This window comes from Homo sapiens, chromosome 6 (assembly GCF_000001405.40).
Source record: "Homo sapiens chromosome 6, GRCh38.p14 Primary Assembly".
Taxonomy (NCBI): domain Eukaryota; kingdom Metazoa; phylum Chordata; class Mammalia; order Primates; family Hominidae; genus Homo; species Homo sapiens.
In genome coordinates, this window is record NC_000006.12 from 150,180,274 (window position 1) to 150,207,624 (window position 27,351).

The 27,351-nt window shown below is 46.3% G+C and overlaps 1 protein-coding gene across 1 annotated transcript in view, besides 2 other annotated features; it reads left to right on the top strand.

The window, feature by feature from the left end:
• The window catches only part of PPP1R14C (protein phosphatase 1 regulatory inhibitor subunit 14C), a 107,349-nt gene that overhangs the window by 37,230 nt on the left and 42,768 nt on the right, over window positions 1-27,351 (top strand). The window lies entirely within an intron of this gene.
• Window positions 9,478-9,683: a silencer, noted in NCBI's record as "fragment chr6:150510887-150511092 (GRCh37/hg19 assembly coordinates)". NCBI's record gives its function as "represses an EF-1alpha promoter that drives an FKBP-Casp9 reporter gene in an ReSE screen in both phorbol 12-myristate 13-acetate-treated (for megakaryocytic differentiation) and untreated K562 erythroleukemia cells {active_cell/tissue: K562 | K562(+PMA)}" and the evidence as "EXISTENCE:reporter gene assay evidence [ECO:0000049][PMID:32094911]".
• Window positions 16,880-17,174: a silencer, noted in NCBI's record as "tiled region #9319; HepG2 Repressive non-DNase unmatched - State 20:ReprD, and K562 Repressive non-DNase unmatched - State 19:H4K20". NCBI's record gives its function as "represses a minimal TATA promoter and a strong SV40 promoter by Sharpr-MPRA in HepG2 and K562 cells {active_cell/tissue: HepG2 | K562}" and the evidence as "EXISTENCE:reporter gene assay evidence [ECO:0000049][PMID:27701403]".

Sequence of the window (27,351 nt, forward strand, 5' to 3'; positions counted from 1 at the left end):
ATAGGGTGCACTCAGTGGATGTTAGCTATTATTATGTTTGAGACAGTATAGTATGGATTGGTACAAGTGTTGGCCTCAGCTCTAGCTGTGTGACTGTGGGCAAATAACCCCGAGTCTCAGCTACTTCATCTGTAAGATGGGGATATTAGTTGCATCTGCATGAAAGAGTGGCTGTGAGAGCTATACGTGGCAGGGCTTGGGGAAAGTAGTTTAATGAAATCTAAGCACTGTAAGATTTAATGCTTCCATGTTTCATCCAGCATTATATAAGGAACTCTGCACATGTGGGTACATCTCATGAGCTCCTCAGTTTGCCTCCTGTTGTTTTCTCTGATGTCAGTGTTGTCATAGCTGTTCTTGGAAGAGTTGTTTTAGGCATGTGTCTTGAGGTCCTTCCTGTGGTCACTTTAGTGGGTGACACAGGAGAGGCAGTCTGTGAAGCTCCCTAAGAGCATGGCTGGGGTGGGGGCGGAGTGAAGGGTGAAAGCCTCAGATTGTGTGACTTTGAAGGGAGCCTGGAGCTGAGTTGTTTGGAGAGATGATTTTTCTTGCTGAATGATGACCCTGGACTACATCAGCAGGTCTGACAGGGGCTCTAGACAAAATAAGAGACAATCTGGTACAAATCTGCATAGTTGCTGGAAAAATTAGTGTCCACATTCTTCTTACAGTGCATCCAAAATAAGGACCCAATGTCAAAGTGTAGGCTTAACTGGATGAGAGAAAGGTAGAGAAACTACAGCTCCTCCCTCAGGTCAGATTTAAATTGAGTGGTTACTGATGTCTTTTTTAAAATGTGAAATTTAGTGGAGCTGCCTTTGGAAGTGTGGTATTTATCCCCGCTTTAGTCTGTCTATCCATAGTGGCTGGGAGCTTCAGGTTAGGCTGGCATTCTATGAGGTGTTCTTGGTAAGGATTAGCTGGCCTGGAGTCTCACTATGTCACCAGGCTGGAGTGCAGTGGCGCGATCTCATCTCACTGCAACCTCCACCTCTCGGGTTTAAGACTCTCTTGCCTCAGCCTCCCGAGTAGCTGGAATTACAGGCACACACCACCACACCCAGCTAATCTTTCTGTAGAGGTTATTATTATTCAAGGGTGTTTTTCAGGAAGCTGGTGGACAGTGGTGGGCATTTCTGCTCTGGGATTCAGGTTGTCCTTAGAGGAGAAATTCTAATGATCTGGTAGAACATTAAAAAAAGTTCTCGAATATTTAATTATTAGCTATCAATGTTCTTTTCTGCTGCCCTGTCTCTTCGCTTACTTTATTTCTTGTTCCCCAAGTAATCCACTTCTCAAATTGGCTCCTTGCACATAATGTTTTTTTAAAAAAATTTTTTGCTGATATCTTAATTAGGGAAAATGTCAGCTCTGCGCTTAGCCTTCTTGTTTCTAAACATAGTAAGATGCCTTTGTCCTTCCCCTTAATTGTACTTGCTGCAGAGCTAAGCTGTTAGGTTTGCTTTGAGTGTGTGTGAGCCATCTTTTTGACAAACATAGCATACTTTTTGTGTATATGTGTTAAGATCTTTCATTAAATGTGACTTGATTTATTTATGATTTTGATCTACGACAGGTTTTCTTTTTCATTGCTTCTCAAATTTGCCTTGAAATAGAATTACTTACTGCAGTAAATGATTTGCAGTATGTTTATCCCCTTCTTCTTCGTCCGTAGCAGCTGCTAGTTGAAGTGGGAAATAGGATTCAGTGGTGGAATAAGAATTAGTTTTTTTTGGATATGCCAAATTTCAAATTGACTATATAGCTAACTAACTTGTGTGTAAAGGATATTTAAAAGCCATAAAACTTAATCTTGTCATTTGACTAAATTCAGCCATTTTCATGAAATTGGTATGCATTTATAATTTTCATGTTATGGTCAGCAGAACAGCTTTAGTCTGTGTAGTGGTCATGGGCATGCACTCTGTATCCAGACCTGCCGGCTTTGAATCTGGCCTCCCTATTTCCAAGCTGTGTACCGTGAGACAAATTATTCAACCTCTCTGTTTTAATTGCCTCAGGCTGCTATAACAAAATACCATAGCCTGGGTAGCTTGAACAATATAGATGTGTTTCTCACAGTTCTGGAGGCTGGGAAGTCCAAGGTTAGGATGCCAGTAGATTGGGTATTTGGTGAGGGCCTACTTTCTGGTTTGCAGATGGCTGTCATCTTGCTGTATCCTCACATGGAAAGATAGAGATCATCCATTCATGAGGCCTCCACTCTCATGACCTAATAACCTCCCAAAGGTCTCACGTCCTAATGTCATCACTATGGGGGTTAGGGCTTCACTATGTGAATTTTGGGGGACACAAACACTCAGTCCATAGTAGCACTCTCTATTTGCTTAACTATAAAATGGGGATAATAAAGACATGGACCTACCTTATAACGTTATTGTGAAGATTAAATGAGATAATACATGTGAGGTGCACAGTATAGTGGCTGTTACCAAGTAGGTACAATAGCCAGCCATGCTTTGCTTAGTGATGGGGATATGTTCTGAGAAATGCATCCTTAGGTGACTTTGTTGATGTGTGAACATCATAGAGTGAACTACACACGCCTAGATGGTACAGCCTACGACACACCTAGGTTCTATGGCACAGCCTATTACTCCTAGGCTACAAACCTGTGCATGTGACCATCCTGAATACTGTAGGCAGTTGTAACACAATAGAAGCAATTGTATATCTAAACACATCTACACACAGAAAAAGTGCAGTAAAAATATGGTATTTTAATCTTATGGGACCACTGCTGTATATGTGGTCCACTGTTGGTGGAAATATTATTATGCTGGAAATCCATAAATATCCACTTGGCACAAATAGTACAAATATTCTGTTGTTTTTTTAATTCTATCTTTCATGATTGCTATGGCAAATTAGACTTTTCATATTTGAAGGGGATTTTTTTTTTTTTAGTGAGTTATCTCGGACTGTTAGCAAGCAATTCTGGCTGATGTTAGTCATAAAGTTTACTTGAATTTTCTTTAGTACAATCATCCCTGAAATTATAAAGAGGAAATGAGTTGGTCAAAACGGGTATGTAAATTCAACTTTATTGCTCCACCTGTACAAAAAGGAAGTAGAATAAAAAATAAACATATTTTGTGTTAGGACTTCAGGGAAATTCAGTGTTCAGAAAAATGCTTCCAAATGTCGTAGTACAGAGAAAGTTATTATGAACCTGGTTAACATCTGACTGCGGGTTCTACCAAGTCACCAAACTGGGACATTTCTTTTTTTTTTTGAGACGCAGTCTCACTCTGTCACCCAGGCTGGAGTGCAAAGGTGCGATCTCGGCTCACTGCAACCTCCACTGTCCGAGTTTAAGCGATTCTCCTGCCTCAGCCTCCCAAGTAGCTGGGATTACAGGCGCCTGCCACTGCACCTGGCTAGTTTTTTGTATTTTTAGTAGAGATGGGGTTTCACCACCTTGGCCAGGCTGGTCTTGAACTCCTGACCTCGTGATCCACCCAGCCTCCCAAAATGCTGGGATTACAGGCGTGAGCCACCGTGCCCGGCCCAAACTGGGACATTTCTTAAGATGAGCAAGTGAAACAAAAGTTTCAGTGGTTTATATAGAATCTCATGTTGATGTATATTTATAAGCATGTTTATTTTAAACATCTGAGAGAAACAGCAGAGACTTGCTATGGTGTAACGCTTACTTTCCGACAGTTCACATATTTCCCAAGTTTTAAGGAGTTCCTATTGATGGTAGGTGAGTGATTCTTTTGGTTTTTGAAGAAGGATTAGTTGTGACAACCCCGTGAGCTAATCAGGCAAGTTGAATGTTATTTTATTCTCTGTCATAGATTCAGAAGTTAATATGTGGGTTCCTTAGCAACTAATTTGCAGGTGTAGTCACACATCCAAGTGCGCGTGGAGAACGAGTATCCCAGGTAGGATGTGATGAGAGCATAGGAGGGACTCAGCCTGTGACCAATCATGTCTTTGTGCTTTTAAGGCACAAATGGAGCATGGAGGGGCCGTCTCCATCATACCACCTCCTCTTGCTCCTAGGCGAGCCTAACTTCCTTTGGAAGGGGATATCCAGCCACCTCCTGGTAGATAGTATCTGGCACGACAGTCATATGCTGCACAGGTGTGTGGACTAGGAGCAATAGGCCATACCCTACAGCCTAGGCATGGAGTAGGTTGTACCATCTAGATTGTGTAAGTTCACTCTGTGATGTTTGCACAATGACAGAATCACCTATGGATGCATTTCTCAGAACATATCCCTTTTGTCCCCTCCCCCACCCCATCCTCTTCATGGCCACATGTTGTGTTTTGTCGTTACTATACCTATATCTTGGAGACAGCACTTTTTAAGCATATTTTGGACTTCTCTCTGCCAAAAATGCGGACAAGTGGCCTCTCTTTTGCCCTCAGTGGGTCCTTACTCCCAGTCTGTCTAGTTTCTCCCCTTGATTGAAAGCCTCCTTGAGAGCAGCCACCGCATGATTTTGTTTACTGTTGTGTCCTGGAGTGTAAGACACAGTGCCTTACACAGGGCTGGTGCCCAGAAAGATTTGTGAATGAGTTGGTGAATGAATGAAATTATCTATTTGAACAAACCAAAGCTGGACACACATGGGTAGCCGTATAGCCTGGCTGAGATATGCTTGATCATGAAGTTATGGCTTTATTCATCTGTTGGCAGTGGGATTGACTAATTCTCCCTTCACTCCCTCATGCCCATGGTTGGGCAGCCAGGACCTTCTCACCTAAACATACCATCTGTTGTTGGCTCCTGGCTATCACATTTAGTTACAGGTCTTTCCCCCTTTTAATTTCCGGCTGTTATTAACTATCCTCTATTTCTGATGTAGTAGCATTCTCACTTCCTGCTTTTCAGTTTGACTGGGTTGCAACGGGTCCATTATTTACTCAACTTCTTTCTTTATCGATTTCCTCATCTATAACATGTCAACAATGGTATTGCCTCTCTTACAGGGTAGTTGTGAGGATGAAGGGGTTAAATGCAGGTGAAACCCTTAGAGAAGTGCCTAGCAGTAGTCAGCCTGACACCGACCATGTCTCATGAAAGTCACACAGACCTGCAAGGCTCCTGCAATCTGCCCTTTACTCTTTGCCCTTCCCAGCTACCTCATCGATTTCCTGACTGCTCGTCTTGCCATGGGGACCATCCTTGCATTAACCACAGGAATTTCCAGCAACAGTCCACTACCATATTCCTAGCACTGAGCATAGAGTCTGACAGATGATGTGTGTGATTGGAAGATGCTGTGTTTCTGCCTACCCTTGGCTGCTGGGTGCAGGGCTCAGGGCTCCACAGAGTGAAGGCTACCTCTGCATAATAGCTCTGCGGCCTCCCTGTCTGTATTAGGAAGCTGATGATCATTTATTATTCCAGCAAGCAGTGACAAATCAGCTCTGTGTGTCGGTGAGGATAGGCGAGGCTATGTTACACTCAGGAGTGACCCAAACTTTCAGTGGCTTAAACCGAGCAAGTCATATTCTCACTCGTGCTGTGTAGCTTATATTGGCTGATGTAGGGGTTCTACCCTCACCATCACTCAGGGACCTAGGCTGCTGAGGCTCTGTGTAGACACATGTGGCCATGACTAGCAAGGCAGGCAAGGGTCAGGCGTGGCACCTATCGGCTCCTAAAGCCTCTACCAGGAAGTGCACACATCACTTCACATCAGAGTTCACTGGGCAAAGCAAGTCCCTTAGTCACACCCAACTTCAGAGGGGCAGCAAAGCCCAGCCCTACCCTGTCGCTGGAAGGAGGCCACCAGAATATTCGTGCCTGGTCTTTGATGCTCCCGTGACCAAGGATGGGTTTGCGATAAATGGAGTGGGGCCCCACTGTTCTCAGGGCTTCTAAAAAGGAATGCCCCTTGCCACATCTCCACCCTCAGTTCCGATAATTAATTGTTTTATTTAATCAGGGAGAAAAGACATTAATTCCAGGAAGCTTAGCAAACAGGCGGTTCCTCTAGGTATGGTCTTCAAAAGCCCTCAGGAGCAATTTTCCCATCCACTTTGAAGGATATAATTCCACTGTTGGTCTGAAGAGCAAATGCCCTGCGTAATTTAGAGCTGGGCCTCAGAGGGGAGTGTGTTACCGGACAGTCCCCTCAGCAAACTCAGTTATTCCACTGGGCTTTTGCTGAGCCCTGCTGTGTGTTTGGACTTTATGTGACCTTCAATACTGACTGATCCATAGGCTTGTCATTGCATAGGTGAGCTCCACATCCTGTCAACTTGATTTTGACAATCTGAAGCTGGAAAAGCTTTGGGGAGCAGCGCCTCTGCACACTGTGTCAGGACCTGGGCTTCCGGGGCTCCAGAGTGGTTGATAAACATCATGGCGGCTCAGAGAGGGAGAAGCCAACCAACAGTGTTTGCTAGAGGCCAAGGTGGGGTCAGGGCCTGAGGCGGGGGATGACCTGAAGCTGGGGACGGCCTGGACCAGTAGGTGGCTGACTCAAAGACTGAGCACTGAGAGCCTGGGGAAGAAAGGGGGAGAAAGTTCAGGAAATGGATACCAGCTGGGGGTGGCTGCTAAGAATGAGGCAAAGCTGGAGAAGTTGCTGGGGTCCAACCAGGAGGACCTTGTGGGCCAAGCCAGGGAGTCAGAATTTTCAGCTGAGTGAGGAGCCATGGAAGCAGTGGTGTGGGGTGGTCAGGTTTGACTTTTCTTTTAAGTTATGCTTGACTTAGTCTTTTTTTTTTTTGAGACGGAGTTTCACTCTTGTCGCCCAGGCTGGAGTGCAATGGTGCAATCTTGGCTCACTGCAACCTTCGCCTCCTGGGTTCAAGAGATTCTCCTGCGTCAGCCTCCTGGGTAGCTGGGATTATAGGCACCTGCCACCATGCCCAGCAAATTTTTGTATTTTTAGTAGAGACAAGATTTCATTCACCATGTTGGCCAGGCTGGTCTTGAACTCCTGACCTCAGGTGATCTGCCCACCTTGGCCTTTCTCTTTCTCTGTGTGTGTGTGTGTGTGTGTGTGTGTGTGTGTGTGTGTGTGTGTTTGCATGCTTTTAACTTCAACTTTTAAGTTCGGGGTATAAGTGAAGTTTTGTTATATATGTAAATTTTTGTTATGGGAGTTTGTTGTACAGATTATTTTGTCACCCAGGTATTAAGATGAGCACCCATTAGTTACTTTTTCCTGATCCTCTCCCTCCTCCCACCCTCTACCCTTAAGGCCCTAGTGTGTGTTGTTCTCCTCTGTGTGTCCATGTGTTCTCATCTTTTAGCTTCTACTTTTGGGAATGTGTGGTATTTGGTTTTCTGTTCCTGCATTAGTTTGCTAAGGTTAATGGCCTCCAACTCCATCCATGTTTCTGCAGAGGACATGATCTCTTTCTTTTTATGGCTGCGTAGTATTCTATGGTGTATATGTACCAACTTTTCTTTATCTAGTCTATCATTGATGGGCATTTAAGTTGATTCCATGTCTTTGCTAATGTGAATAGTGCTGCAGTGAACATACATGTGCACTGTCTTTATGATAGAACGATTTATATTTTTTGACTACAGGATCTTGACAAGATTTACATTCCTTGACCACAGTTAAATGGTACTTGACTTAGTCATTGTTTTTTATTTTTTACATGCTTTACTTCTTGGCATGATTTGTATTTCTACAACTGATTGGTTTTCACAATATTTGTTTTAATCCCAAAGATATATGTTACACCGAATAACCACATCACATTTAATCTGATCCTTTTCAATATTTTTTCACTCACACAGAAGACTCAACAATGTAAAAAAACTGAAGTAGAATATTATATTCTAACATAGTTTTAGTCACTGTTGGAGAAAGGTCTGTTTATTATCAGGGTTTCTTTATTTTATTGGGTGGTTGTTCTAATTTGTTGTTTTGTCAAAATTTAACCTTGTATTTATGTGCTTAAAACATTAAGGATCTCTAATTTAGAACAGATTAGTCTTCTGGATTAATTAGTCTTCTTCTAGATTTGCTGGTTTGATGGTGAAATAATGTATTTTCATGAATCTTCTTTTGGTAATAGCTTAATTAAATGATCAGACAAATGTTTATACAACACATTCTAAAATCATACATTTTGTTCAGAAGAGATTGAAGGTGAATTGGAATTTTAAAAAGACCCTTCTGTGCTCAGGGCATGCCTTCCTGATGGGCGGGTCCTGCGGAAGATTGATCGGTGTGGGAACAGAAGAACAGGAATTACCTTTTTTTTTTTTTTTTTTTTTTGAGACGGAGTCTCGCCCTATTGCCCAGGCTGGAGTGCAGTGAAGTAATCTCGGCTCACTGCAAGCTCTGCCTCCTGGGTTCATGCCATTCTCCTGCCTCAGCCTCCTGAGTAGCTGGGACTACAGGCGCCCACCACCACGCCCGGCTAATTTTTTGTGTTTTTAGTAGAGACAGGGTTTCACCATGTTAGCCAGGATGGTCTTGATCTCCTGACCTCATGATCCACCCGCCTAGGCCTCCCAAAGTGCTGAGATTATAGGTGTGAGCCACTGCGCCTGGCTAGGAATTACCTTCTTATGGGACATTTTTTCTTACAGGATTTTTTATTTTTTTATTTTTAATTTTTTAATTATTATTTATTTATTAATTTTTTAGACAGATTCTTGCTCTGTCACCCAGGCTGGAGTGCAATGGCATGATCTCGGCTCACTGCAACCTCTGCCTCCCAGGTTCAAGCAGTTCTCCTGCCTCAGCCTCCTGAGTAGCTGGGATCACAGGTGTGCGCCACCATGCCCGGCTAATTTTTGTATTTTTAGTAGAGACAGGATTTTGCCATTTTGGTCAGGCTGGTCTCAAACTCCTGACCTCAGGTGATCTGCCTGCTTCAGCATCTCAAAGTGCTGGGATTACAGGTGTGAGCCACCGCACCTGGCCCTTACAGGATGTTGTAATTAACCTTTGTTCACTCACTAAATTCCTCCTTCTTGTAAGTTCTTTTTTCTGGACAGCACTGAGATCAATCCGTGAGGGTCTGTGTACTCCCTTCTCCTCGAAAGCACCAGGTGAAGGGTGATGCATTTAAACTATTTGATAGCACTCTCCACCCCTCACACCCCATTTCTTAATCTATTTCTGTTGACACAGCGCCACCCCAGACAGGGATCATAATGCAATAGAGCAGATGTCAGTGTTCCTTCATGACTTGCTCTACATTCTAGTCCCATTTCTCAGGGCCACTGTTATTGGATTTGAGCGAGAGTCTAGCCTCTTGATTGGATAAGGAAGACACCTGGCTATCCTTGATTGCATTTGGAAAACATTCTGCTTTTTTTTTTTGTGGAAGATTGAGAAATACTCTAGTCTCATCTTCAATATAGTATCAAGTCATCTTTTATGTTGGAGGCTTTCTGTTGATGGCTAAACTCGTCATTTTGATATTGATTGCTTTTGCTTTTCTTTCGGTAGAGAACATTTCTGACTTTATATTCTAGGATTGCTCCCATTTGAAACCTTCGAAACCTTTCTTCAGACTGATACAGAATGCTTTATTATCAAGCACACCTCTGGATAAAACTGTGGATTCCTTGGCACCAACAGCCACAGTTTGGAATCTTGACCCTGAGTAGTTCTAACTGAATCCAGCAGCTTCTACTCACCTTTCTGTTCTTTTAAATGGGTCACATAAATCTGTCCCCCAACCCCCCAACACAGAACCCCTCCAGGCATCTACAGGAGGGTGAAAGCTGATGGTCACCCTTCAGCAAGGCTTTCTTAGGTGCGTAGCCTGCCCTTGATTCCAACTTGTAAGTTAAAGGTGAGAAAAGGATGATTTTGGTCAAATTCTCCCTTGATGCCTGACCCAGGGCAAACCATGTCACCTTTCTTATCCTTCTGCATGCTATATTTTGAGGTTCTGTCTCATGGCTTAAAATGCTGTCTATATACTGGTGAATCACAAATGTATATCTCTAGCCTGGACGCGTTTATGAAACTTTATTCTTATATCTCCAACTTCCTCTTCAATGTCTCCACCTGAACACTTAGTAAGAAGCTCAGCCTTAGTATGCCCAAAGCCCAGCCCCTGATCTTCAACCCCACTTTTCTCCACGGCACTTCCTCCCCACTTTATGCATGTTAGGAATGGCAACTTTATCCTAACAGTTGTTCAAGGCAGAAACCTTAAAGTCATCCTAGATCTCTGTATTTTGCCTTTTTTTTTTTTTGAGATGGAGTCTCTCTGTCACCAGGCTGAAGTGCAGTTGCATGATCTCAGCTCACTGTAACCTCCGCCTCCCAGGTTCAAGCGATTCTCCTGCCTCAGCCTCCCAAGTAGCTGGGACTACAGGCGCATGCCAGCACACCCAGCTAATTTTTGTATTTTTAGTAGAGACGGTGTTTCACAATGTTGGCCACGACGGTCTTGATTTCTTGAGCTCGTGATCCACTCTCCTCGGCCTCTTAAAGTGCTGGGATTACTGCGGTGAGCCACCACACCCAGCGTATTTTGCATTCTGTAGTCAATTTGTCAGCAAATCCCATTGGCTCTACCTTCAAAATAGACCCAGAGTCTGTCCTTCTCTACCTTGGTCCATACCACTAAGTTCTCTTGCTTGTATTACTTTTGCAGCCCCTACCTGCCCTCCCTTCTTCCTCTCTTGCTCCCTATCCTCAACCCGGATGCCAGAGTGATCCCGTTAATATAAGTCAAATGGTGTACAGTGGCTATGTCTTTACACTGGTCTGTACCACCTGTGTGATCTGACTCCCCCACCCTACCCACACGGTTACCTCTCTGATCCCCTACTTCTTTGCCCTTCACTCTCTCTGCTCCCGACATTGGCCTCCTTGGTCCTCACATGTTTTCTCCTCTGGGCTCTGCAGCTTACTGTTCCCTCTGTCTGGAACGTTCTTCTACATGGTTCCCTCCCTCACCTTCAGGACCTTATCATACGTCAGGCTCCCAGTGAACCTTCCAGGATCAACTGTTGTTGAAATGGCAGCAGCCTCCATACTTCCTGGCTCCTTTTCCTGCGTTGCTTTTCCCTGTAGCACTTATCTCCTGCTAACATTATTTTGCACATCTAAAAGCTAGGAGTGCAAAGATTCTGTCAATTTTGTTTCCTGCTCTATTCCCAGCATCTGGAACAATGCCTGGCATATAGCAGACATTCAATAAGTATCTGTGGAGTGATTGTATCCACCAGATGTTTTTTACTGACTGTGTGCAAAGAACAGTTCTCGAAATTGGGAGAGACACAAGTACATCAGATGTGTGTATGTCTCTCAGAGCATCCGCAGCAGTGTGACAGAGGGCAAGGACCATAACACCTGCTCTTAGAATCTTCATTTAAGCACCATAGATCCTTGATTGAATCTGGAAAACACTCTGCTCTCCTTGTGGAAGATTGGGGAAATATTCTGGTCTCATCTGCAATATAGTGTCAAGTCATCTTTTATGCTGGAGGCAATATAGTACCTGTATATTTAACTGCTTGGTAGTGGATGTTTGCTATTCTTTAGCATCTCAGAGAGTATAGGGGAAATCTGCGTGTTTGAGTACTTATGCACATTGAATGTGGTTATTGACATGAAATTCAAAGGTGAGACTTTAAAAGAGGGAGACCTTACCCTGCTGACTATTCATGAAGGAAATGGTTTCAGGCAATGGAGTGGTCTCTGAACTGGGATTTGAGGTGTAGATAGGGAAAGAAGAGGGTTCCAGGTACAGATTACTGTGTGCACAGAGGCTGGAGCTTGCTGACTCAGTGTCTGGGAATGAGCACCATTCCAGATTCTGTTTGTTTCTCAATGTCTCCCTAAAGGATACTACTGAATCCTCTTCTCGGAGTCCTCACACAGCATGAAATTCCATGCATGAGATTTGATTGGCTGCAGGTTTAGGCTGGTCCGTTTTGACTTTTCCCATTCATTCTGTGGGCTTGATTTGGATGCCGCCTGGGCTGCCTGGTTATTTTGTTGTCTCTAAATTCTGGCCCATATTATTTGTGTTGTACTTGAGTCTGCTAGAGCAGTGGTCCCCAACCTTTTTGGCATCAGGGGCTAGTTTCACGGGAGACAATTTTTTTCACAGACTGGGGGTTGGGTGCAGATGGTTTCGGGATGAAACTGTTCCATCTCAGATCATCAGGCATTAGATTCTCATGAGGAGCATGCAACCCAGATCCCTTTCGTGCGTGGTTCACAATAGGGTTTGCACTCCTATGAGAATCTAGTGCTCCCACTGATCAACAAGAGACAGGGCTCAGGCGGTAATGCTTTCTTGCCCATGTTCACCTCCTACTGTGTGGCCTGGTCCCAAACAGGCCATGGACCAGTACCACTGTGCTTTAAAGGAAATTCAGACTGGCAAATTACCTATCTGCTCCAGGTATCTGTTGTTGCATGCCACAAAACACCCCCCAAATCTCAGTAGCTTAACACAATATGTGTTATTATATTTCATGGTTCTGGGGGTTGATAGGACTCAGCTGGATGGTTCCCTCTTGGGCTCTCTTACACAGCCGGAGTCAGATGGTGGCTGGGTCTGGAATCATCCGAAGACTGGACTGGGCTGGTTTTCCACGATGGTTCCTTCACCTACAGGTCTGGCTTCTTGCCCTCTCTGTTTCCACACAGTGTCTCATCTTTCAGGGCCTCTCATCTTTTGGGACTGGTACTAGTCCATGGCCTGGGTCTTGGGACCCCTGTGCTAGAGGATGACATGGCACAGTCACACATTTGGCTGACCTTTTAGTGGGAGGGAGATAGACCCTGGAATATTCTGAGTGATCAGTTCTCTTTTCCCAGTTATCTTTTTCTTACTCTGTTGTTTAAGTACAGAGTATAAATCATTTTTTGTATAGGCTGTTCCTGGCAGATATGGGCCAAGCTTTGATTCATAGAGAGAAGGAAGCTTAGACGTTACCAAGACCAGTGCTTCCCAAATCTCCTGATTATCCAAATCACCGAGGGAGCTTTAAAAAGTCACTCAAGGCTTGTTTAATCAGCATCTCCAGGACACAGGAAGAAGAAAAAGAGGAGGAAAAAGAGGAGGAAGAGACAAGGATGTCTCACATGTGAGAAAATCTCAGAGACTGCTACACTAGATGGAAAGTTGCCTATGTCAGTGGTCCCCAAATGCCACACTACTCAGAAAGACAGGAAAACAAGAAAAAAAGTACATTTTCTTTATTAGAATTGGAGTGTGTAGATGTCTGTATCAGAGTCTGCATTTTCAAAAGAATTTCCAGGAGTGAGTAAGAGAAAGGAAGATGAAGAAGAAGAGAGCTACGACGGGAAAGAGATCGGAAATGAGAAGATGGACTTGGCTTGCATCCTGCAGATAATGAGTAAATGCTGAAGTCCTCGATGGAGGGCCAGGGCTGGGAGAAGGGGAGGAGGGAGGGGTGGGAGGTAGCTGTATACATCTGGAGGAGGGAGGGGATGACATCTGCCTCTGCTGGGTCACTCAGATCTGGAATGTCCTTGCAAGGAAGCCCATTCTGATTTTGAACAGCTGCTCTTGATAAAAGCTCATTCCCCATTTCCTTCTACCATTCATAGGATGTAGCTCTGGAGCCCCCTGTCCTAAGCCTCCTTATCCTGGCTTCCATCCACTTCTTCAGCAGGCATTTATTGAATGCCTAATGTGGGTGACATGGTTTGGCTGTGTCCCCACCCAAATCTCATCCTGAATTGTAGCTCCCATAATTCCTGCGTGTTGTGGGAGGGACCCTGTGGGAGATCATTGAATCATGGGGGGCGGTTTCCCTGATACTGTTCTTATGGTAGTGAATGTCTCACGAGATCTGCTGGTTTTGTAAAGGGAAACTCCTTTTGTTTGGTTTTCATTTCTCTCTTGCTGCTGCCATGAAAGCAGTGCCTTCCGCCTTCTGCCATGATTGTGAGGCCTCCCCAGCCATGTGGAACTGTGAGTTCATTAAACCTCTTTTTCTTTATGAATACCCAGTCTCGGGTATGTCTTTACCAGCAGCGTGAGAACAGACTAATACAGTGGGCATGGTTTTCTTATTTTGTTTTTTTCTCTAAATCCCTCTTCCATTTCTGTTACCTTCCACTTATCCCAAGAAATGGTTACTTAACAAATTCAAAACACTTATAAGGATTTGGACACAGCTTGAGCCAAGATTTATCTTTCTTTGGCAACCCCTGTTTGTTTTGTCTCTTGAGAGTATGTACAAAATGATACTGTAAACAGGATTTTAAGTGGCATGTGTAATTTAGTGAAGAGAACCAAATAATGTTCTACTACAATTTGTATGCCAATTATAAATCATGCTTTTCCATTAATTAAAGGAGTAGCTCTTTGATTATCTACCAGTAGGATGCAAAAATGATTAAATAGTGTTTTATTTAAAATATTTTACATTTTATTAAACCACCTTGGCTTCTGACTACTCCTAACTCACCTCGCCTTTAGCACAAACAGTTCTGTCCTTGGTGAATCTGATAAAATGATTTGCTTGTTCAGCTATAAAACGTAAAAGAGGCTCTTATAATTTGTTGCATAGTTTAAGACCCTGTTTTGTTTGACCACTGCTTGGGGGTTGATGTTTGTTATTCTTTAGCATCTCAGTGAGTACCGGGGAAGTCTACTTGTTTGAGTACTTACACATGTTGAATACAATTATTGACACTGATTTAAAGGTGAGATTGACTCAGTTCATAAATATGACAGTTGATCCAGGAGGCATTCTGTCTGGAATAAATTGATAAAGGCAAAAGTTATAAAAAGAATATGTGTCTGCTTTTGCTTTGTACTTTACTTACATACCTAGAGCAGTTACTAGTTATAGCCTTTTGAATATAACCTGTATGACCATCTTCAAATCTGTCTCAATTTCAAGAGGAGGTTACTCATGCAATTATGTGGGTTACTCTTATTCTTAACTTGAACATTTCAGAAAATGAGTTTTATGGTAGTTTTAAGCCTAAGCATTTTACATGGCAGAGAGCTCCGGTTTATTCACTCAATAACAAATTGCAGTATATGTGTGTGTGTGGATACCATGTTATACATGGGGGCTAAAAAAATAAATGAAATGCAGTTCCTGCCCTCAAGGAGCTCTTAGTTTGCTAGTGGAGACAACTGATACACATCTGGATTGACATGTTTTGTTTTTGAGATAGAGTGTCGCTATTGCCCAGGCTAGAAAGCAGTGGTGCTATCTCGGCTCACTGCAACCTCTGCCTCCTGGGCTCAAGCTATCCTCCCACCTCAGCCTCCTGAGTAGCTGGAACTACAGGCACCCACCACCATGCCTGGCTAATTTTTGTATGTTTATACAGATGGGGTTTCACCATGTTGCCCAGGCTGGTCTTGAGCTGAAAGTGATCTGCCCACCTTGGCCTCCCAAAATGCTGGGATTACAGGCATGAACCACCATGCTCAGCCCCTTGTTTTGTTTTTTTATTGTTGTAAAATACACATAATATAAAATTTAACATTTTAGCCATTTTTAAGTGTACAGGTCAGCTACATTAAGTACATTTACTATTTTTTTTTGCAACCATCCCCACCATTCATCTCCCGAACTTTCTCATCTTCCCAAACTGAGACACTGTGCCCATTCTTGATGGGTTTTAATATGCCTAGGACCACAGAGCTATGGGAGGCCAGAGGACAGGAAACTCCCAGTTCTAAGGCAGTGTCAGGTCATGGGCAGTGATTGGCCTGAATGCCCCTTGCCCATCTTCTGCTGTGTCCAAGGACTGAAGACCTGCCACTCTGCAGCTTGGTCGCTGTCTGGGCTGAAGAACCTGTCTCAGTGAGTGGGGGACTGGGATTCTCCTCTCTTGTGTCAGAGAGACTAAAACCGTAGTTCTGCTAGACCTCTCACCCCTTTCTATAAATAGGAGCATCAATGGGGCCTTCCAAAGGAAGTCATTGCAATACACTGTTGTTAAGCCTTCTGAGCTTCTAGCTGTACTGCCTGGAACAGCCTAGAAACTGGCAAAGATTTATGGTCATTGAGGGCAACTGGGCAACAATAAATCTTCAGCCCTGCTTGCCTTTATAGCATCTGTGTAAGCTTGCTGGTTCAGAGCCACTGGGACTCAAAGTAAATCATTCAGTCAGTCACTCAGCAGATAATTATGGACCGCCCACTAGGTGTGAGACATTCTGTTTCTCCTTTCTTTTATGTCAATATTTAGCAGAAGTAGTAGCAAGGCATCCAATTCTTGAATCTAGTTTCTCTTCTAAGGACTTTTTTTTTTTTTGAATCTCTAAGGTTGTTTTGAGTATGTTCTCCTCAATCCAAATTGTTCCCTGCTCAGGAGAAAATAAAGCTCTGGGGAGAGGCTTAACCATTTAATCATGTACCATTTAACACCTCTTTCTGGGAATGGAAACATAGATCAGCATAAAGAACTTGTCCCATTAGTATTTGCCACCGTTTTTCCTTTGAAAAGTAAAGATGTGTTTCAATCACTTCATTTGTTAAAATTAAAGCATGGCCTCTCCTTCTCCCTGTCCATCTGCTGTGACTTGTGATCTGATTTGAGTGTCTGTTCTAGTAGCAGAAGCAGCAGAGGTAGATGAGACAACAATTTACTGCCTCAGTGGAAACTTACTTCATGGCCGAGTCAGAATAACACAGTTGGAGTTTTTAAAATTAATTGGAATTTTATTCTACACTACTTGTCTGGAGTCTAAGCTACAAAGCTGTTGTTGTAAAGGTGAAAATCTAGCCTAATCAGTGCCAATGGCATTTGCAGAAGATGCCAAGAACTTCCTGGGTCTCAGGAAGGCTGGAATGTACTTGTCCTCCCTTCTCCCTCCCTCCAGTAAACACAACCTTCCACCCTCCCCTCAGGCTCCAGCTGCTGCTTGCTGCACCTCTATAGATCCCGAGTTTGGGAACTGGCTGGAGTCTCTGTTGAAGGACTGGAGAAGGTTACAAGGATTGTCTCTGCCCCTGCCTACCTCAGGCCTCCCAGAGGTGGGGGATGAGGGAGTCTGTGGAAGAGGAAAGAACTAAGGGAGGAGCCCAGTGTGAGAGGCTCTGCTCCCGCCTGCGGCACTTCCCTGCACCTGCCACAGGTCCAATTCATGGGAACAGCTGGACTTTCTAGCCACTGTCGTTGGTCTAGGAAGTTAAACTGTGGGCCTCTTACCCACCGCAGTCACTCCCTGGAGGTGGCCTCAGAGCTCTGGCTCCAGAGGGCACCTGTCTTGCATGGAGAGGTAAGAAATGTTTGAGTTGAACTGAATATTCGCTGCCGGCCTGGGGTCGGTGAGATTAGTGAGAAGGGAACAGGTGGCGTAAAAGCTAATGGGATGCTTTAAGATTGGCACATTGCTGATTTCCAGGCTGCCGTGGGAAGGCTGGTGGTGGGTATCCAGGTTGCTGTAGCGGGGTGGAGAGAAAGCACCTCCTGTTTTCCAATGTGGAGGCAATCTGGCCATGACATCTGTGTCCCTGCCCGCCACGGTGGAGGAGGGCCTGGATGCCCGGCTTTGTGTGCCCCTGGCCGCCACGGTGGAGGAGGGCCTGGATGCCCGGCTTTGTGTGCCCCTGGCCGCCACGGTGGAGGAGGGCCTGGATGCCCGGCTTTGTGTGCCCCTGCCCTTCACGGTGGAGGAGGGCCTGGATGCCCGGCTTTGTGTGCCCCTGCCCGCCACAGTGGAGGAGGGCCTGGATGCCCAGCTTTGTGTGCCCCTGCCTGCCACGGTGGAGGAGGGCCTGGATGCCCGGCTTTGTGTGCCCCTGCCCGTCACGGTGGAGGAGGGCCTGGATGCCCGGCTTTGTGTGCCCCTGCCCTTCATGGTGGAGGAGGGCCTGGATGCCCAGCTTTGTGTGCCCCTGGCCGCCACGGTGGAGGAGGGCCTGGATGCCCGGCTTTGTGTGCCCCTGCCCGTCACGGTGGAGGAGGGCCTGGATGCCCGGCTTTGTGTGCCCCTGCCCTTCACGGTGGAGGAGGGCCTGGATGCCCGGCTTTGTGTGCCCCTGGCCGCCACGGTGGAGGAGGGCCTGGATGCCCGGCTTTGTGTGCCCCTGCCTGCCACGGTGGAGGAGGGCCTGGATGCCCGGCTTTGTGTGCCCCTGGCCGCCATGGTGGAGGAGGGCCTGGATGCCCGGCTTTGTGTGCCCCTGGCCGCCACGGTGGAGGAGGGCCTGGATGCCCGGCTTTGTGTGTCCCTGCTGTGGCTGCGTGGTTGTCAGGTGACCATCCTCTCCAGGGAGGGGAGAGCTGCCCCTTGCTGAGGGAGGGTGTGCATGGCTTGTTCCCCTGCCAGAATGTCCCATTCCTTGACATTTTGACCAGTCTTGCCACATTCTATGGGTTAAGACCTGGATGATTACAAAAGTTGTGGAAGATGGTTTTCTTGACGGTCTTGTTTGCAATGGAGGTGCCAGCAGGTGCTGAGAAACACTGAGGGACCTCAGCAATGCCATCTGTTCTCAGAGGGGCTCAGGAGAAGCAAAGATGAGCAGTGGCCGAGGAATGGTGCCGCTGACATAGTCCGGGCAGCCCCGCTGGCACTTATGCTGCTGAGCTTGGCTTCCACAGCCAGGGAAAAGGGTGTCTTTCTGTAGCAGCCATCTGCCTCGCTCATCATCAGTTGTGATGATTTTGTCTTACCTGCCAAGTGGTAGTTCTTACGTCTTGCAGATCTTTGAATCCTCAGCACCTAGCACAGTGCCCTGCCTGCAGTAGGGGTAACATAGCCAGGAAGCACAGCATGCACGATTGTTTTCTCCAAAAGATGTGCAGAAATCAGTGACCAGACAGAAGTGGTAGGCTTCTTCTTTTTTTTTTTTTATTGTCACCATCTATAATGGAATGGCATCCTTTACTTAAACTCAACACCTTTGGAAGCACTGGCTCTCAGAGGCTAATGCCTGTGGCTCCCAACTATGGTGACTTGTGATACCTCACTCAGATATGACGGGTCAGTGGCTTTGGAGGGGGTTCTCAGGAATCTGCATTTTTACAAGTTCATGGGGGTGATTCTGGGGCAGGTATTTTATGAATGTGAATCATAACTTGAAAAAGAACAGGCTTTCAGCTGAGGCACGGCTATCATTCGAATGTGTCCCCTCCAAAATTCAGGTGTTGAAATTTAATGGCTAAAATGATAATATTAAGAGGTGGCCCTTTAAGAGGTGATTAGGCTCTGAGAGCTCCTCCCTCATGAATGAGATCAAGGCCCCTGTGAAAGAGGCTTCATGCAGCATTCCATTTCACCTTCCTCTGATCTGTGTGAGGACACTGTGTTCTGGAGGGTGCAGCAAGGAGGCATCATCTTGGAAGCAGACACCTAGTCCTCACCACACAATAAACCCACCAGCCTCTTCATCTTGGACTCCAGAACCAAGAAAAAAATTTCTGTTCATGGTCAGGCATGGTGTCTCACACCTGTAATCCCAGCTCTTTGGAGGCTAAAGTGGGAGAATTGCTTGAGCCCAGGAGTTCAAGACCAATCTGGGCAATATAGTGAGATGCCATCTCTGCAAAATTTTTAACATTAGCCAGGCTTAGTGGCACGCATCTGCAGTTCTAGCTCCTCAGTAGGTTGAGGCAGGAGGATCGCTGGAGCCCAGGAGTTCAAGGTTACAGTGAGCTATGATTGTGCCACTGTATTATAGCCTGGGTGACAGAGCGAGAGCCTGTCTCTAAAAAAAAAAAAAATCTGTTCTTTATACATTACCCAGCCTTTTGTATTTTGTTAGAGCAGTGCAGATGGACTAAGTCAGATACGCTCTGGAAATGGATTTTCCAAGTGGGGAATAAACAACGAGGAAGGTAACTCTGTGTCATTTCCACTTTCTTACACCTGGGGTGCTTCACACTTTAATTTTTGTCACACCTCGTGTAATCCCCTTGGTACTCTTTAACATTAATCTTGAAGAACACCTTACATTTTTGGTAGCATTATTGAAACCAGTTGATATATTAATATTTGAGGGCTTTTATAGGATATATATATATACACACACACATACACACACATGTACACAACACACACACACACAACACACACATACACACATACCTGTAGGATGTACAATGAAAAACCAGTTAACTTTCTGAAGTACAGGATTTTAAATAGACTCTATTTGAGCCCTGGAGATTGGCAGTAGTCTCGGCTACCCCTCATGGTGCCGGGGTCCGAATTACTCGCCTCTCTGGGACAGCTCCCTTTTCTCCCTCCCTTGTGATCTTGCATCCAACCCTTCCTTAACCAAGTCTGCAGACTTAGGTTTGTCCTCACCCTAAGGTGAACCAGCCAGCTCCTGTTCTCAGTCTGGGGAGTGCTCCTTTTCCACTGCTGAGCAGAGACTGGAGCAGGAGACACAGTGATGCGTCTCATGGCCCTGCCCCTGGCTCTCTTCCCTTTGGACACACCCCTAGGTGCAGCTGTGGCCTCCTCTGTAACAGGTCTGCAGAAGAGCAAGATTAGAAGCAGCCATATCCCCTACATTTGTAACAGGAGAGGCCCAGACCTCCAGCTGGGGGATTAACATGTTCTCCAGAAATGGCTAGTTACTCCCAAACTTGCTTCTTTCCTCCAAGTCTTCACTGAGAGCCTGAATCCATTCATATCTGCCTCACAAGGAGTGTGGTCCCCTGAGTGTGTGAAAGCTGTCGTCATCCTCTAAGTTTCCATGGAGTTTCCTGGGCTCCAGCTGGCTGTGGATACCAGGGCTTGAATGTGTTGGGTGCCTGGAGCCGCATGTCTGAAGGGCTCTGCTCTCCTCCCTTGCTGCTCCAAAAGTCACGGAAGTCAAAAGGGAGAAATCATTCCCCAGCCATGCTGCATCCTGAAAGGCACATAGCACAAGTTGTAGGGGCCATACATTTTGAGGTCAGATTGTCCAGGTTTGGAACTAAGGAAGCGATCGGCCCTATTGGGCAGGATACTCAGACATTCCATCTGTAAATAGAGATGATGATAATACTCACCTCAGGGAATTGTTTGTTATTTTATTTACAAAATGATTATCGGGGTCATGTGTCAGGCGCTATCCCAGGCACTGCTCTTGGTCCTCCAGTATGGGGAGGCAGACTGAGAAATGTGAATTGGAAGAGTGTGGAAAGTGCAGCGAAAGAGAGGTGCAGGGCATTCTAAGTTTCCAGGGCTGGGAGGTTGACCTCATCACAAGTCTGGCGAAGACATTTTGCTTTAGGAAGTGATGGCTGACACGAGATAACAAGAAGAGTGTCCTACACATGCACCCAGCACGTGCAAAGGCCCTGTGGAGGCCTGGCTGGGGAGTGTCCTGAGGGATCGGAGGAGACCAGCGGAGTTAGAGCTCAGGGAGTTGGGGTGAGGCATTGAATGGAGAGGAGGCCGGGAGCCCAGCAGGGGAAGCCTTCCAGGCAGAGGTAAGACTGTTGGTCCTAAGACTGGTAGGAAGCCACCCGTGAGTTCTAAGCTGGTGAATGACAGATCTGTGTTCTTAAAGTTGCTACTCTGGCTACAGAGTGGAAACTGGGATGGCGGAGGCATGAGGGTGAGTTTATGGAAGCCAGTTAAGAGGCTCCTGCTATAGCTTATGCAAAAGATGATTTAGCTTTCACTAGGGGGGCAGTGGAGGTGGTACAAAGTGCAGGTTCAGGAGACGGTAAGCCATAGAATTGACAGTTATGGTGATGGATTGGATGGTGGCGACAGGGAGAGGAGGGGTCAGGAGTGAAGTATTCCATGAACCGTCACATTGCCTGCATAAACATGCATTACAGGTAAACGATTATGGTAATAATTTACAAAGAAGCATGCCCTTTGCTCTGCTCATTTCACAAGGCAGCTCTGGTTAAATGACTTTTTATTTTGGACTGGCCTCATTCCCTAAGACCAAAGGCAGCTGAGCCTGTGTGCCCCGGGGGCCTGCCCTCTGACCCTGGTGTAGCCTTGCATCAAGCGTGAGCTCCTCTCTCGCCTCTCTGCTGTGTGGTGTGAGGAAGGTAGTGCAAGGAATGTTCTAGCAAGTTTCTCATCCTCATGCAGAACATCCCTGGTGGGTGCCCACCCCACAACAAGGCTTGCCAGCCTTGAGTCTCTGTTAATCTCTGTGTCCCTCCCCTGTACCCCCACTCTGTCACGCAGGCTGGGTCCCACGGAAGAGGCACTGCCTGGCTCCGGCTGGCTTTTCCCAGATCAAGCCCACACCTCCTTGCCTCAGGCTGTCCTGGTGTCTGGCTTTGCTTCTCCCTCTCTCATTGGCACCCTTGCTGTTCTTAGGTTTGTCCCTTTCTCATTGGCACCCTTGCCGTTCTTAGGTTTGGGGCAGGCCCGTGTCTTGTCAGCAGCAACCCTGGCTCCTCTCAACCAGGAGCTGGAGTCCCCATTGGGCAGAAGAAGCTTCGGCCGACTTTGCCGCTCCTTTGCCGCCGGGACAGCCCTGCAGGCTCTTCTCTGGGAGGGTCCCCATGGTGCCCTCCCACACAGCCTGGCCTGGTCTCAGGGCTGAAGCTGAGGACCTGGGTGTGCCTCAGTTGGCTGAAGGTCATTGTATGACTCACACCTGGACCTTTTGCCCAGCCCTCGGCTGTAAGAAGAACCAGCAGAGCCAGTCACAGGAAGGCCTGGCCCTCACCTTCCTGGGTTCAGCCACCACCAACACATTAGTCTTGGTCTTTTGTTTTGTTTTGTTTTAATTTAATCACTTAATTTTTTAAAAGCATTTTAGATTTACAGAAAAATTGAGCCAAAAACACAGAGAATTCTCATCTACCCCTTTCTTTCTCCTCCCTCCAGTCCGGTTGTCCTTTTTCTTAACATCTTGCATTAGTGTTGTATCTTGGTTACAATTGCTGAGACAATCTTGCTACATTATTATTAGCTAAAGCTCATCATTTCCATTCAGACTCACTCTTTGTGTTGTACATCCTGTGGGTTCTGGGGTTGTGTGTCATTTTCCTCTAATTGGGTTTTGGCAAATGTGTGATGATATAGATGCACCCTTATAAGATCACACAGGTTTTCTGGCCTGAAAATTGCCCTGTGCTCTGCCTTAGTCATCTCTCTTTCCTCATTGGCCCCTGGCAATCCCTGATGGTTTTACTATCTCCATATTTTAGTCTTTTCCAGAACGTCCTGTAGTTGGAATCATGCGTATGGCAACTTTCCATTTTGGCTTCATTCACTTATGGATCTGCATTTAAGGTCCTTCGTGTCTTTTCATGCTTGATGGCCCATATCAGCAATGGTCTTTTATACTCCAAGTGCAGTGTGTCTGCTCACCGGCTGGAGGCCTTGCGATGGGATTCACAATTTCCTCTCAGTGTCTTCCAAGCGGCTTTTCCGTATCATCTTCTCAGGCTTCTGTGCACCTGCCCGTACTGGACATATTTGGCCATTGCTGATCTAGGAGCCTTCCCGAGGCAGGAGGTGAAACGGTCTGGATTTCGTGTTCTGTGTTAGGAAATCTAACACTGCAGCAACCCCGAATGCCTCAGTCATGAGCAGTTGATAGTGCAGGGGAACCGTCTTCTCTCCAAGAATTGGCTAGAACGGGCTTCTGCCCACTGCTTTTATTCCATCATCGGGTAATTTGAGTGTTTCCAGTCTAAGAGAATTCTGCTTGGCCCTAAGCCTTTCCACTGCAAATCTGGATGTGGACCATCTTCTATCAGAGACAGCTCAGGCTCAATCCCTAAATTAATGGCAAGCAAGACGTAGACAGGTGTGACTTCTTAGAGACAGGCTGGACTGCTGCTGCTCTGTCCTTGGGTGGCGCCAGCCCTTCCTTTATTCTTTCCCAGTCTTCTTATCCATTGCCTGTAGCCCAGGACCAGTGCCAAGCCTGTAGCTTCCGCATGGTGTTCCTCTCCCTTCCGGGGATCTTCATGTAGGTGCTGCACGGAGAAAGAAGGGCCCTGAGAAGAGAGGCTGCTGTCGGCACAGGAGCCGTGAGGGTGGCGGCCGCCTGGCCACTGTGTCCAGTGCTTTCAAGGTGTTCTCAGTGTCCTCGTTTATGCCACGGCTTAGAAGATTGTCCTTGCCATCTTTAGCAACTGTCTCAGCCGTCACTTATTTTCACTCGTCTTACGAGGACCAACCTGCCGACTTTCTCGTCACGGGGGCATTGTTAACAACCAGCTGTGCGTGTTTAGTGTTCATAAGCAGAGCAAAGTGTGATTGTCTCCAGGAAGCTCTGCATCTGGGTTTTTTTGCTGACATTTTCTTTTCTTTTTTTCTCTTTGAATGCTGTGGTTTTGAACAAATCGGTAATGTGATAAGTCTTCACTTAACGATTTTCAGGCATCAGGAGTACACGATTCCCTGGAAGAGACATTTACATGGAATATTTATTTATTTGAAGAGGAATCGGATGTGCCCAGTCAACTTAGCACCCACTGAGGTCCTGTCACCATTTGTTGAGTTTGCACAACGTGCGTGGGCATGATTGTGCCCGATTTCTATCCAGCCCCGAGAATTAGCTAGCAGTCCCCATTTTACAGGTGTGGGAACTAAGGGTTAGGGGATGCGTTACCCTGCCCCAGCTCTCACGGGTTGTCAGAGGCAGAGATGAAACTGAAACCTGGGTCTGCTTCTCTCCAAACTCCATGCTCTGGGCACAACACCACTTGGCCCCTACCCAAGGGACCGACTCTGTGCTGAGAAGCAGGGCAGCCTGGGGCATACACGGGAAGTCGGAGGCTTCAGTCGCTTTCTTCCCATGCTGTGCTCTGTTCACCAGACTCCCTAGGGTCCTCCCATTGCAGGAGGAAGTGGCCTCTTGAGCCCTTTGAGATCAAGGCTGGGCATAGAACACAACCTCTGCTCCAACTCAGAGTCTTTTTTTTTTTTTTGTTAAACTGTGTCTGGAGCACTTTGATAATCTCTCCAGAGATAGTCATTTTTGCTAAAATGAATTGCTAAATGTAGGGGAGAGATTTGGGGGCACGAACTAAGCCTGCCCTGGGTGCCAGTGATACTGGCAACTTCCCTGGTGGGTGGGAAAGAGAAACCTGCCTGGTGGGTGGGTTCAGGACCTAGAAAAGACCTCCTCAGCCTAGTTCCTTGTTGCTTTGCCGCCGCCCCCAGGCAGTTCAGCCTGGGCTTAGTCAGTGTCTAGCAGCCTCACTGAACTTCTGGGACCAACAGCCCCTGGGTACTTCTCTTACCACCTGGTCTGCATCGTCAGTGGCTCACACACCCATCACACTGGCCTGCTGCTGCTGTTGCATAGGTGTGAGCTTGGTACTTGTGATCTTGCAAAGTGCTAAATGGCTCACCCAACTACAGTACCTGATGGAGCTCTTGAGATACCAGTTTGCTCTCTGAGGTTTGGATCAGCAGTGACCCAGATAAGAGTTCGTTTGTAAGAACAAAATATATATATCATGCTTGGGAGGCTGAGGTGGGCGGATCACTTGATGTCAGGAGTTTGAGACAAGTCTGGCCAACATGGTGATACCCCGTCTCTACTGAAAATACAAAAATTAGCTGGGTGTGGTGGCAGGCACCTGTAATCTCAGCTACTTGGGAGGCTGAGCAGGAGAATCCCTTGAACTTGGGAGGTGGAGATTGCAGTGAGCCGAGATAGCACCACTACACTCCATCCTGGGCGACAGAATGAGCCTCCGTCTCAAAAAAAAAAAAAAATAATGGAAATAAAAAAGAAAAAGAAATATATATATCATGCTACTCCCTAGTTAAAGCCAGTGTCATCTCTTCCCAGCTTATTTCTGTGGCCTCTTAACTGGTCTTTTCGCGTATGCCCTCCTTTCTAACAGGTAAACCATAACCCATCATGCCTCTGAAAGAATGAGAACCCATCAATGGCTTTTCTCTTGCTCACGGTACAAGTCAGAGGCTTTACAGGGGCCTCTGAGTCTCCACATGCTCTGTCCCTTCCCCCACCATGGCCCCAACTCTGATACAGTGACCCCGGGCTCCTGGCAGCTTCTTAGACACAGCCTGGCATTACGTGTTTTCCCTTGATGCTGTGTCTTTAATCAGATACCTTTCTCGCTGAGCCTTACCCTGTCACTGCCTGACTTAAAATTCCAGCCCCCATACTCCCTGTCTCCCCTGCCTAATTTTTCTGCAAAATATTTATCAATCTTTGCCACTGTACGTATTGTACTTATTTGTTTATTGTCTGTCTTCCCCCATTAGAGTTTAATCCCCACGAGAGCAAATATTTTTGTCAATTGTTTATTCCTTAACCCTGGCATCTAGGACAGTGCCTGGCAGGTAGTAGGTGCTCAGTAAATCGGTGCTGCAGGGGTTTGCCTGGTGTTCTGAGATCCTGATGTAGATGTGCCTAGTTCTAGAATAATCTGACGTAACCCGTGATGTGCATCTTCATGTGTGAGCACTGGTATTTGTTTTACAGTGTTGATTTGTGAGACAATGCCACTCCTGTTCACTTGTGTTGGAATGTGTCTTCATGAGCAGGAGGAAAGGGAGGCGTTCTACACGGGGCATGAGGATGGTCCCTGCCGGGAGCTCTCCTCTCTGCCGCAGCTGTCATTTGCATCTGCGTCAGTGCCCCAGAAGTGAACCTTCGTAGGATATAGGTAGGTCAGGACCTGCTCTCCTGGGTGACAAGAAAGGCGATTCCTGTAAATATTATGTAAAACATTCCTTCACTTCACCATGGAGTCAATGGAGTCAGGTTCAGTCAGGCTATTTTGATGTTTTTTTTTGTTTGTTTCTGTTTTTGTTTTTTTTTTGCGACAGAGTCTCGCTCTGTTGTCCGGGCTAGAGTGCAATGGCATGATCTCGGCTCATTGAAACCTCTGCCTCCCGAGTTCCTGCGATTCTCCTGCCTCAGCCTCCTGAGTAGCTGGGATTACAGGCACATGCCACTATCCTCGTCTAATTTTTGTATTTTTAGTAGAGACAGGGTTTCAACACGTTGGTCAGGCTGTTCTTGAGCTCCAGACCTCATGATCTGCCTGCCTCGATCTCCCAAAGTGCTGGGATTACAGGTGTGAGCCACTGTGCCCGGCCTATTTTGATGTTTTTAAAAAGGGCTTTGGGAGGACTTTGCTCTCTGGCTCTAAGCAAGCTTTAGCCATTGGTTTAACTTTAAAAACAAATGTGTATTAGGGAAATACTGGTAATATAGGATCCCACTGGAAAGGCATATGCTTGTTTACCCATGCTACTTCTGTCTAAGGCCCAAGGTGAGGCCATCCTACCCCAGCCACTCTAAATGGCCTGGCCACCTGTGCAGATGGGTGCCCGGTGGGGCTGGGCCCTCGATTCGCATCAGGCAAGCTCATCTCCATGCCTTGCGTGCTCCCCAGCTTGTCAAGCCTCCATCTGTTTCGTTCTTCACTCCGGCATCCCATGTACCTTCCTCAATCTGGATTTGGGGACATGCCCTCTGGCCTTCATGAGCCACAACTGTAGAGGATATAAGAAAATCAAAGTTTATTTCTCTATTTTTCTGGAGCACTCCTTCCCAAA